This window comes from Homo sapiens, chromosome 17 (assembly GCF_000001405.40).
Source record: "Homo sapiens chromosome 17, GRCh38.p14 Primary Assembly".
Lineage (NCBI taxonomy): Eukaryota > Metazoa > Chordata > Mammalia > Primates > Hominidae > Homo > Homo sapiens.
The window spans coordinates 5,959,933-5,972,814 of NC_000017.11; the positions used below are offsets into that span (position 1 = coordinate 5,959,933).

Consider the following 12,882-nt stretch of genomic DNA (forward strand, 5'->3'; position numbering starts at 1 on the left):
GGTAGCAGTGGAGGGTGGCTTCTATACAGCCTAGCTGTGGGCATTTTCTTCTTAGTGGTGGGAGAGAGAAAGAGAGAGAGACTTTTCTGAAATCAGACAGACGGTTCTTCTCAAAAACCATTTGCCGATGTCCCCTTGGGTGTCAGGAAATCTCTACATACTGGGAACGGGGGAATTTTTTTTTTTTAAAGTGCAATTTCTTTTCTTGCCAAAAGGCAACTCAATTGTCAGGTGTTGGTTGCCCCTCCTGTTACATGATCCTCTAAAAGATGTGAAGGACTTTATCCAGTCTATCATTGATGGGCATTTGGGTTGGTTCCAAGTCTTTGCTATGGTAAATAGTGCTGCAATAAACATACATGTAGATGTGTATGTGTCTTTATAGTAGAATGATTTATAATCCTTTGGGTATATACGCAGTAATGGGATTGCTGTATCAAATAGTATTTCTGGCTCTAGATCCTTGGCACATATACACCATGAAATACTATGCAGCCATAAAAATAATGAGTTGATGTACTTTGCAGGGACATGGATGAAGCTGGAAGCCATCATTCTCAGCAAACTAACCCAGGAACAGAAAACCAAACACCGCATGTTCTCACTCATAAGTGGGAGTTGAACAATGAGAACTGAGAACACATGGACACAGGGAAGGAACATTATACACCGGGAGCTGTCAGGTGGTGGGGAGCTAGGGGAGGGAGAGTGTTAGGACAAATACCTAATGCATGCGGGGCTTAAAACCTAGATAATGTGTTGACAGGTGCAGCACACCACCATGGCACATGTATACCTTTGTACCAAACCTGCATGTTCTGCACGTGTGTCCCAGAACTTAAAGTTAAAAAAAAAAATCGTGAAGGACTAATTGGCTGGAACTCCCACCACATGCCGGGAGAAACCCCAGTGCCCATCTCCAAATCTCTGGGGACTCTTGAAGGGATTACATGTCTCCTACGTGCTTTTGGTTCTGCTTTCTGCCTTGACTCACTTACATCCTATGCCACATCAGTTCGCAGTGGCAACAGAGATTCCTTCCCCCACTTCTCCAGAATGCAGATCACCAGGAAGGGTTCAGTGTGGTAGGATTTGCTGAAAATTTGTGGTTAAAAATCCTTTGGCCCTTCTATCCACCAGGATTTCCTTCTGATCATCATCCTCCGCAGTACCCTTCCTCACCCAAATCCTTCTTTCTGGAAGTTATTATGTTCTACAGGGTAGCAGACAGGAACACCACACCCTGTAATAAAAAGTCAGTGTGGTCATTCCGTGAGAGGTGGCCAGCTCTGGTGGGGGCCATGGGAGAGCACCACGGATTCTGCAAAGTGGTGAGTGGACTGGGAAGGTTTCCCAAAGGAGGGGAAGCGAGAAGGCTGTTGACTTGTGAGCAGGAAGCGGGAGAGGCATTGGAGGCAGAGGGGAAAATGAGCAAACGCTGGTAGGACCCGGAGGGAGGAGTCTATCCTTATGAATAGATTTTCACAGGTCTATTTATTAAACCCATCTTTTCTTTTCTTTCCCAAAAGAAAAGCTGCAATAGGTTTCTAATCCTTGCTTCCTTGGGCCATTGAAGTATTTTGAATCAATATCCTTTAGATATTAATTGTCTTGAAATGCCAGAAACAATGAAATACCACATTTTTATCACAATATTAAATTATACATATTAAAATATTTTACTTCTGTAGATTTGTAAATGAATGGTAAACATTTTCTGAATGAAGCACTAGAGTCGAACATCCATATGTGTTTCTGTAGTTAACACTTGCAAAAATAACTCTTTAGATAGACTCCCAAAAAGCAATGTCAAAAAACAGTATTCCTATGGTGGACGTTTGTGGTAACCTTCCCAACATCCACTTTTTTCTTTCCCCAACATCCACTTTTTTCTTTCTAGAAGCTGAATTTCTGTTTGGGGGTCCATGTGGTTCAGGGGAAGTTGACTGCTCTGCCAGCTATGATGGGGGCCCATGACTGGTCTACGCTTATCAATGGATTCCATGCTGCTGGTCACAGTTCAGGGGTGAGTGCCTGACCGGAGCCAGCCCAATCAGAGCAAATAGTACTCCTCTTGGGGATGTTGGGACAATGACATCCTCTCTTCTTCTGAATGGGCCACTGTGTGGACGAGAGACCCACCAGATTGCTGCAGCCCCAAGGGAAGCCAGCTTGAGGATGAAACTCAGCCCAGAACATGGCAGAGAAAACAGGACCAGAGTCCTGAGCCACCATGAACTACTGGATCAAACTGTGCCTGAAGCCTGCATACCTCTGGGATTTTCATTTTGAAGGGATGATAAATTATCTTTAGTGTTTAACCAAGATGGAATTAGATTCCCATTCTGAACTTAGATGACTCTCAAGACTGGACTAGATTTATATCCATCGTTTTGTGGAGACTTGTGAGTTCCTGAACTCAGTTTGGGAACTCAGCTGATGGTGCCTACAGTATCCTAATCTTGGATTAATTACATCAGTAACAATCTAGATCCATTAAAATATATTTAGTGTTTGCATAAAAAGAGAGATTGGCAGTGCAGAAGAGAATCAAAGGCGTGGGGAAGGTTTTGCATCTGCTGTGTTGAGAATTCAGAAGAAAAGCTCCAACCAGCAGCAGCTGTGGTGTTTTTAGTGGAATTTGGAATTAGAACCAGGCAATTTTCCTGCTGGGCTGTGCCAGGCAAGGGTTGACAGGGAGGGTGTTGGAGCTGGCTTCGTAAACCTCAACTGGGTTAACGAGGGACATGGGTTTCAGGAAACCGACTCTTCAAGGGCCTGAAGAAAGTAGCAAATCCTTGTTTTGTTTGTTTGTTTGTTTGTTTCATGATTCTAAAAGTAGTATGTGAGCATTTTGGAAATTTCAGAAAACAGAAAAGTATAACAAAGAAAGTAGCAAACATTAGAATTCCTCAATTCAGGTATTCTTTAATTTTTATCTATACACATTCAATCATTCTGGATATACAATTTTATATCAAAGGTATCTTGCCCTCCAAAATAATGTCTTTGTATTCACATTCATTGGCCGCATAGCATTTTACCATAGGGATTTTCTATACATAACCATTTTTCTTTTGTTGAATCTTTAAGTAATGTGTCAGCCCCTCCCTCCCTCCCTTCCTTCCTTCTTCCTTCCTTCCTTTGTTTCATTCACAGATTTCAGTTTTTAGAGCAGCTTTAGGTTCACAGCAAAACTGAGAGGAAGGTATAGATATTTCCCATATATGTGCTATCCCCACGTATGCATAATGCTTCCCTATTATCAACACTGGTCACCAGAGTGCTAGATTTGTTACAACTGATGAACCTATATTGACACATCGTTATCATCTAAAGTCCATAGTTAGCATTCGGGTCCACTCTTGGTTTGGACAAATTTGTTTTGACACATATCCACCATTATAGTATCACACAGAGTAAGTAGTCTTACTGCCCTAAAAATCCTCTATGTTCAGCCTATTCATTCCTCCATCCTCCCTAAAACCTGGCAACTGCTAATCTTTTTACTATTTCCATAGCTTTGCTTTTTTCAGAATGTCATATAGTCAGAATCATACAGTGTGAAGCCTTTTTCAGATTGGCTTCTTTCACTTAGTTATATATATTTAAGTTTCCTCCTATCTTTTCATGGCTTGATAGCTAATCGCTTTTTAGTGCTGAATATTTCTTTGTCTAAATATACTACCACGGTTTAGTCAGTCACCTACTAAAGAGCATCTTGGTTGCTTCCAAGTTTTGGCAATTACGAATAAAGCTACTACAAACATTCATGTGCAGGGTTTTTTGTGGACATACGTTTTCAGTTCCTTTGAGCGAATACCAAGGAGTATGATTGCTAGATCATATGGTAGAGTATATTCAGTTTTTAAAGAAACCACCAAGCTCTTTTCCAAAGTAGCTGTGCCATTTTGCATTGAATGAGAGTTCCTGTTGTTCCACATCCTCATCAGCATTTGGTGTTGTCAGTGTTCTGGGATTTGTGTAATGGTATCTAATGGGTGTGTAATGGTATCTAATAGGCATGTAATGGTATCTAATTGTTGTTTCAATTTGCGTTTCCCTTATGACATATGATGTGGAGCATCTTTTCATATGCTTATTTTTCATCTGTATATCTTCTTTTGTGATGTATCTGTTAAGATCTTTGACCCGTTTTTAAATCAGATTGTTTTCTTATAGTTGAATTTTAAGAGTTCTTACATATTTTCGATAACAGTCCTTTATCAGATATATCTTTGGTAAATATTTTATCTCAGTCTGTGGCTTTTCCTTCTCTTAGAGTTTCTTTCACACAGCAAAAATGTTCAAGTTTAATGAAATCCAGCTTATTAATTCTTCCTTTCATGGTTTCTGCCTTGGATATATCTAAAAATGTCATCACCAAACCCAAGATCATCTAGATTTTTCCTATGGTATTTTCTAAGAATGTTTTAGTTTTGTGTTTTATGTTTAGATCTATGATTTATTTTGAGATAATTTTCATAGAAGATGTAAGGTCTGTAGCTAGATTCATTTTTTTTTTTTTTGCATGTGGATGTTCAGTTGTTTCTGCACCATTTGTTGGAAAGACTCTTTCCTCCATTGTACTGCCTTTGCCTCTTTGTCAAAGATGAGTTGGCTATATTTACACGGGTCTATTTCTGGGCTCTCTATTCTGTTCCATTGATCTATTTGTCTATTATTTCACTAATACCATACTGTTTTGCTACTGTAGCTTTATAGTATATCCTGAAGTCAGTCGTGTTAGGCCCCTAACCTTATTCTTATTCAATCTTGTATGGGCTATTCTGTTCCTTTTGCCTCTCCATATTAACCTTAGAATTAGTTTGTTGTTATCCACAAAATACTCGTCAGGATTTTGATTGGGATGGAATTGAATCTATAGATCAAGTTAGGAAGAATGCTCATCTTGACAATATTGAGTCTTTCTATCCATGAACGTGAGACATCTCTCCATTTACTCAGTTCTTTGACTTCTTTCATCAGTTTTGCAGTTTTCTTTATTTAGATCTTGTTCCTATCTTGTTAGATGTGTAAATAAGTATTTCTCTTGGGGGATGCTAATGTAAATGGTGCTGTTTTTAATTTTATGTTCCACTTACTTATAGCTGGTATGTAGGAAGATGATTGACTTTTATATATTAGCCTTGTATCCTGCAACTTTGCTATAATCTCTTATTAGTTCCAGGGGCTTTTTTTTGTCCATTCTTTTGGATTTTCTACATAGATAATCACATCATCTGCGTTAAAATACAGTTTTATTTCTTCTTTCACAATCTGTATACCTTTTATTGTATTTTCTTGTTTTATTGCATTAGCTAGGCCTTCCAGGATGATGTTAAAAAGAAGTGGTGAGAGGGGACATTCTTGAGTTGTTCCTGATCTTTTTTTTTTTTTGAGACAGAGTCTTGCTCTGTCACCCAGGCTGGAGTGCAGTGGCTGATCTCGGCTCACTGCAAGCTCCGCCTCCCAGGTTCATGCCATTCTCCTGCCTCAGCCTCCCGAGTAGCTGGGACTACAGGCGCCCGCCACCACTCCCGGCTAATTTTTTTTTTCTATTTTTAGTAGAGACAGGGTTTCACTGTGTAAGCTAGGATGGTCTCAATCTCCTGACCTCATGATCCACCCTCCTCAGCCTCCCAAAGTGCTGGGATTACAGGCGTGAGCCACCGCGCCTGGCCTGTTCCTGATCTTAATGGCAAGACTTTGAGTTTTTCACCATTAAGTATGATGTTACCTATAGTTTTTTTTTTAAATAAATATTTCCTGTTAAGTTGAGGAAGTTCCCCTCTATTCCTAACTTACTGAGATTTTTTTTTTATTATGAATGGGTGTTGCGTTTTGTCAAGGGGTTGTTATGCATCTATTGATATGATCACGTGATATTTCATTAGCTTATTGATGTTATGGATTGTATCTGTTGATTTTTCAAATGTCATACCAGCCTTGTGTAAATCTCACTTGGTTGTGGTGTATGTTTATTTTTATTTTATTTTATTTTTTGAGACAGAGTCTCGCTGTCGCCCAGGCTGGAGTGCAGTGGCACGATCTCGGCTCACTGCAAGCTCCACCCCCTGGGGGTTCACACCATTCTCCTGCCTCAGCCTCCCGAGTAGCTGGAACTACAGGTGCCCGCCACCTTGCCCGGCTAATTTTTTGTATTTTTAGTAGAGATGGGGTTTCACCGTGTTAGCCAGGATGGTCTCGATCTCCTGACCTCGTGATCTGCCCGCCTCAGCCTCCCAAAGTGCTGGGATTACAGGCGTGAGCCACGGTGCCCGGCTGGTGTATGCTTATTTTTATATGTTGTTGGATTTGACTTGCTAATATTTGTTGACGATTTTGGCATCTATGTCCATGAGATACTGGTACCTAGTTTTCTTTCCTTGTAATGACTGTTTAGTTTTGATATTAGGGTAATGCTGGTCTCATAGAATGCATTAGGAAGTAGTCTCTTTGCTTCTGTCTTGTGAAAGAGATTATGGGGAATTGGTGTAATTTCCTCCTCAAATGTTTGGTAGAGTTTGCCGGTGAATCAGCTGGGGCCTGATGCTTTCTGTTTTGGAAAGTTATTAATTATTGATTTAACTTATTTAATAGACATAGGCCTGTTCAGATTGTCTATTTCTTTTTGTGTGAGTTTTGGCAGATTATGTCTTTCAAGAAATCATTCCATTTCATCTTGATTATCAAATTTGTAGGCATAGAGTTGTTGTTAGTACTCCTTTATGATCTTTTTAATGTCCATAGGATCTGTAGTGATTCTCTTCATTCAATTCTGATATTAGTTATTTGTGCCCTTTCTCATTTTTTTCTTAGCCTGGCTAGAGGCTTGTTGATTTTATTGAACTTTTAAAGAACAAGCTTTTGGTTTCATTGATTTTCTTTATTAATTTCCTGCTTTTTTTTACCCTTTCACTTAAATTTTACTAATACTCATAGAATGTTCAAAGAAAGCAAAATGAAAAGAGCATTGAGAATTAGAAGTAACAGATGGTAAAGATACAAAAATATACAAAGAATCAGGACAGTGGTCAAGTATGAGGCAAGACAAAGATAAGTCTTAGAGGGGACGATCAGAAAATTCTTAATGCCTGTCCAAGGCCTAGTTATGAATCTTGATGATAATTCCTATTTTTTTCCAATTATTGCTATTAAAACTTATGACAAATGTTTTATAAAGACTCCATGAAAAGCCTTCTAGAGCTGATAAATGACTTCAGTAAAGTTTCAGGATATAAAATCAATGTACACAAATTAATAGCATTTATATATATCTCAGTAACATTCAAGCAGAGAGACAATTCAAGAATACCCATTCTCTTTCCAAAGCCATAAAAATAAAATACCTAGGAACACATCTAACAAAGGAGGTGAAAGATCTCTATAAGGAGAACTACAAAATACTGCTGAAAGAAATAACAGATAATATAAACATAGGTAAAAACATCCCATGTTTATTGACTGGAAGAATCAATATGATTAAAATGTCCATACTGCCCAAAGCAATATACAGATTCAATATCATTCCTATCAAACTACCAATATTACTTTTCACAGAATTAGAAAAAAATTCTAAAATTTATATGAAACAAAAAACGAGTCCCAATAGTCAAAGCAATTCTAAGTAAAAAGAGCAAAGCCAGAGGCATAATTGTACTTGACCTCAAACTATATTTCAAGGCTATCGTTACCAAAACAGCATGGTACTGGTACAAAAACAGACTTCCTGCTTTCAATTTCATCTCTAATTTTATTATTTTTCTTCTTTTTCTTTTTTAAATTTAAAATTTTTTTAAATTCTATAGGTTATTGGGGAACAGGTGGTGTTTGATTACATAAGTTAAGTTCTTTAGTGGTGATTTGTGAGATTTTGGTGCACCCATCACCCAAGCAGTATACACTGCATGCTGTTTGTAGTCTTTTATCCCTCATCCCCTTCCCACCCTTTCCCCGAGTCCCCAAAGTCCATTGTGTTATTCTTATGCCTTTGCATCCCCATAGCTTAGCTCCCACTTATGAGTGAGAACATATGATGTATATTTTTCCATTCCTGAGTTAGTTCACTAAGAATAATAGTCTCCAATCTCATCCAGGTCACTGCGAATGCCATTAATTCATTTCTTTTTATAGCTGAGTAGTATTCCATCATATATATATACCACAGTTTCTTTATCCACTCGTTGATTGATGGGCATTTGGGTTGGTTCCATGTCTTTGCAATTGCGAATTGTGCTGCTATAAACATGCATGTGCAAGTATCTTTGGTATAATGACTTCTTTTCCTCTGGGTAGATATCCAGTAGTGGGATTGCTGGATCAAATGGTAGTTCTACTTTTAGTTCTTTAAGGAATCCCCACACTGTTTTCCATAGTGGTTGTACTAGTTTACATTCCCACCAGCAGTGTAGAAATGTTCCCTGTTCATTGCTGGTGCCCCTCCTCCACCTCAAGGCCAGCACTGGCAGGCCGAGTCCCTTCCTTCTCCTGCAGCCTCATCTCTGGCTTTCTCTTCTGATTCCCTCTTCCACCTTTAAGGACCCTTGAGATCAGGCCTACCTAGCTAATCCAGGGTAATCACCCCATTTTAAGGTCAGCTAGAACTGTGGATATCTTTAGAGAGCTATTATTCTGCCTATGACGGGGAATAACTATTACGTAGTGATATGGTTTGGGTCTGTGTCCCTGACTGAATCGCAGAGCAAACGGTAATCCCCAATGTTGGGGGTGGGGCCTGGTAGGAAGTGATTGGATATTGGGGGCAGATTTCCCCTTTGGTGCTGTTCTCACAATAAGGGGTGAGTTATCCTGAGATCTGATTGTTTAAAAGTGTGTAGCACTGGCCGGGCATGGTGGCTCACACCTATAATCCCAGCACTTTGGGAGGCCAAGGCAGGCAGATCACCTGAGGTCAGGAGTTCAAGACCAGCCTGGCCAACATGGTGAAACCCTGTCTCTACTGAAAATACAAAAAAAAATTAGTGGGGCGTGGTGGCAGGTGCCTGTAATTCCAGCTACTTGGGAGGCTGAGGCAGGAGAATCACTTGAACCTGGGAGGTGGAGGTTGCAGTGAGCTGAGATCAGCCCTGGTGACAGAGTGAGATTCCATCCCCCCCGCCAAAAAAAAATTCCCTCTAAACACTGCTTTAGCTGTGTCCCAGATATTCTGGTATGTTGTATCTTTGTTCTCACTGGTTTCAAAGAACTTATTTATTCCTGCCTTAATTTTGTTATTTACCCAGTAGTCATTCAGGAGCAGGTTGTTCAGTTTCCATGTAGTTGTGCAGTTTTGAGTGAGTTTCTTAATCCCAAGTTCCAATTTGATTGTACTGTGATCTGATAGACTGTTTGTTATGATTTCCATTCTTTTGCATTTGCTGAGGAGTGTTTTACTTCCAATTATGTGGTCAATTTTAGAATAAGTGTGATGCGATGCTGAAAAGAATGTATATTCTGTTGATTTGGGGTGGAGAGTTCTGTGTATACCCAAAGGATTATAAATCATTCTACTATAAAGACACATGCACATGTATGTTTATTGCAGCACTGTTCACAATAGCAAAGACTTGGAACCAACACAAATGCCCATCAATGATAGACTGGATAAAGAAAATGTGGCATATATACACCATGGAATACTATGCAGCCATAAAAAAGGATGAGTTCATGTACTTTGCAGGGACATGGATGAAGCTGGAAACCATCATTCTCAGCAAACTAACACAAGAACAGAAAACCAAACTCTGCATGTTCTCACTCATAAGTGGGAATTGAACAATGGGAACACATGGACACAGGGAGGGGAATATCACACACCAGGGCCTGCCAGGGGGTGGGGGGCTAGGGGAGGGAGAGCATTAGGAGAAATACCTAACGTAGATGACGGGTTGATGGGTGCAGCAAAACACCATGGCACGTGTATACCTATGTAACAAACCTGCACGTTCTGCACATGTATCCCAGAACTTAAAGTATAATAATAAAAAAAAAATTTTAAGTGTGTAGCACCTGCTTGCTCTCTCTTTTCCTCCTGAGCCAGCCATGTAGGACATATCTACTTCCCCTGTACCTTCTGCCATGATTGAAAGTTTCCTGGGACCTCCCCAGCCGTGATTCCTGTACAGCCTGTGAAACCATGAGCCAATTAAACCTCTTTTCTTTATAAAGTACCGAGTCTCAGGCATGTCTTTATAGCAATGTGAGAATGGACTAATAGACATAGGAAAGAGAAAAAGACAAATATACACTTAGAAGAAATAAGACAAGGTATTTGATAGATCAGTAAGGTGACTATAGTCAACATCCATCCATTGTACATTTCAAAATAGCTAGAAGAGGATAGTTCAAATGTTCTTAGCCTAAAGATAACTAAGTTAATGGATATTCCAATTACCCTAATTTGATTATATGAATGAATTAAATTATCATATGTACCCTGAAAATATGTACATCTAATATGTACCAATAAAAAATAAACTAAAGTAAGGAGTCACAATAAAAGAAAAAAGGGCCGGGCGTGCTGTAATCCCAGCACTTTGGGGGCCCAGGCGGGTGAATCACCTGAGGTCAGGAGTTCAAGACCATCCTGGCCAAGACAGTAAATCCTATCTCTAATAAAAATACAAAATTATCTAGGCGTGGTGGCGCACTCTGGTAATCCCAGCTACTCAGGAGGCTGAGGCAGGAGAATTGCTTGAACCCGGGATGTGGAGGTTGTGGTGAGTGGAGATTGTGCCATTGCATTCCAGCCTGGGCAATAAGAGTGAAACTCTATCTCAAAAAAATAAAATAAAATAAAAATCAAATGAAAACCATTTCTACCGCAGTTGAACCCAGACAGTGAGAAGTGATGGAGTTTGGGAGGGAGGGTGCCACAAATAATGATGTCATTAGGAGAAGAGTGCACCTATCGGGGGTAACTTTAGCTGACACCCCTAGGGTTCTAGGGACCTGGTGCTTCTTCCGCCAACCCTAGTCAAGTCACTGGAAGTAATAAACCGTGCAGGGGCTTACCTACTGTGTCTCTTATGTAATCCTTCCTGACATTGCTGCTTAGAAGGAAATCCCAAGAATCAGGACCACAGACAGAATAGGGGAGTATCAGCAGCAGTAGCTATGCTCATGGTGACCTCAGAAAGAATTCTAAGCAGTCCACAACCCCTGGGACTTAGCCCCTTCTTCCTTTCCCTACAGTTACTGGAGTAGAAGTCACAAGAGGGTCTTAGTACAGAATGCTCCAGCTCAGAAAGAAGGTTCTCAAATCCTCAGTTGTTAATTTACCAATTCATTACAGGGCAACTCTCCTGTGCCCCAGTATAAGGCGTTTGATAGTGAGTGAGATGGTTTCCTGGCCTCACACAGCTCACAACTGAGTGGGGGGTTATAGGCAGTAAGTTAAATTACATGTCGGTGTGGCAGGTGCTGCACAACCAGTCACTGTAGAGTCTGTGGGAAGCGTGTTTACTAATCAGCCCAAGTTGTATCATTTGGAGTTGAATAAACAATGCCCATGTTTGTGTCCAAGAAAAGGCATACTTCAGCCAGGCACAGTGGCTCATGCCTATAATCCCAGCACTTTGGGAGGCCGAGGCGGGCAGATCACTTGAGGTCAGGAGTTCAAGACCAGGCTAGCCAATGTGGTGAAACCCCATCTCTACTAAAAATACAAAAAATTAGCTGGATGTGGTGGTGCGTGCCTGTAGTCCCAGCTACTTGGGAGGCTGAGGTGGGAGAATCACTTGAACCCGGCAGGCAGAGATTGCAGTGAGCTGAGATCATGCCATTGCACTCCAGCCTGGGTAACAGAGCAAGACTTCGTCTAAAAAAAAAAAAAAAAGTAAAAGAAAAAGAAAAAAGAAAAGGCATACTCCAAGTCCTCCATCAGGGCTCATTGCCTCTAATTACCTTTGTTCCCACCTGAGTGATATACCAGAGGCCACCCACATTATTTTGATGCACAGCCCATTTCCAGGAACAAAACCCACTGGAGTTCAAGGTGGGGCAGGGTGTTCCTCACCATGGCACCTGTTTGTCCAGGGTCCCTGGGTTGTAGGGCAGCATCAGAGACCAAGGGCAGGAACCAGAATTTCTAAGCAGCAGCAGTGGCAGGTTCCCTGCTGGGATTTAGCTGGAGAACAAAGTAAGTTTGCATAATGAGTGTGAGAGCTGTAAAGAATAAACTGTGAAGTGCTGTGCAAATATTAGCTCTCCTGTCTCTTCCAGCTCTGGCCTTCCCTTAACAGTGTGGCTGAAAGCCCTTTGTCTGAGGACAAGGACAGATAAGCTAGTTAGAGATGGCTGGAGTCCACAGAGCGGCACCAGGAGTCTCTGAACTTGAACTTGGTCTGTCCTCCCTGGGGCCTCTTCTGACACACTCACTTGGGGGCAGAGAATCCAGGCCCAGTGAGAAGGCAGCAGAAAGAGGATGCAGAAAAATCAGCTGTCTTTGTCCTTGGGGTAACCAATTCACTGGGGTCTCCTTACTCGGCAGACAAGCCTTATTCCTTCAACAGCCCTGAAACCTTCAGAGGAGCTGAAAGTCAGAGGGAAATTAGAAATTAGGCCTCATCCCCACAGTGGGAACAGTCCGCTCGCAGTACGGCCTCCATATGGTTTAATAATTTGAGATTTCTCACACGTCTCAAGGGAAGGCTGGAGGGGTTTTGATGCTCTTCCTATGGGTTCCCAACGTGCATCTCTTCTCATCAATAAAAGATTGGGTTTACTCACTGTGGTAAGCCAAAAGTGAAAGACAGGTGCAGCTATATAATATTTCTCTTTAATTACTGCTTATGGAAAAAAAAAAGCCAAGTATGGAAATTAATTATTCCATATTGTTAGAACAGGATGAACTACTTACTAATTTTAACTGTGGCTTTT

The 12,882-nt window shown here is 40.8% G+C and overlaps 1 annotated feature.

The window, feature by feature from the left end:
* Positions 12,137-12,431: a silencer, noted in NCBI's record as "tiled region #3217; HepG2 Repressive DNase matched - State 9:DNaseU". NCBI's record gives its function as "represses a minimal TATA promoter and a strong SV40 promoter by Sharpr-MPRA in HepG2 cells {active_cell/tissue: HepG2}" and the evidence as "EXISTENCE:reporter gene assay evidence [ECO:0000049][PMID:27701403]".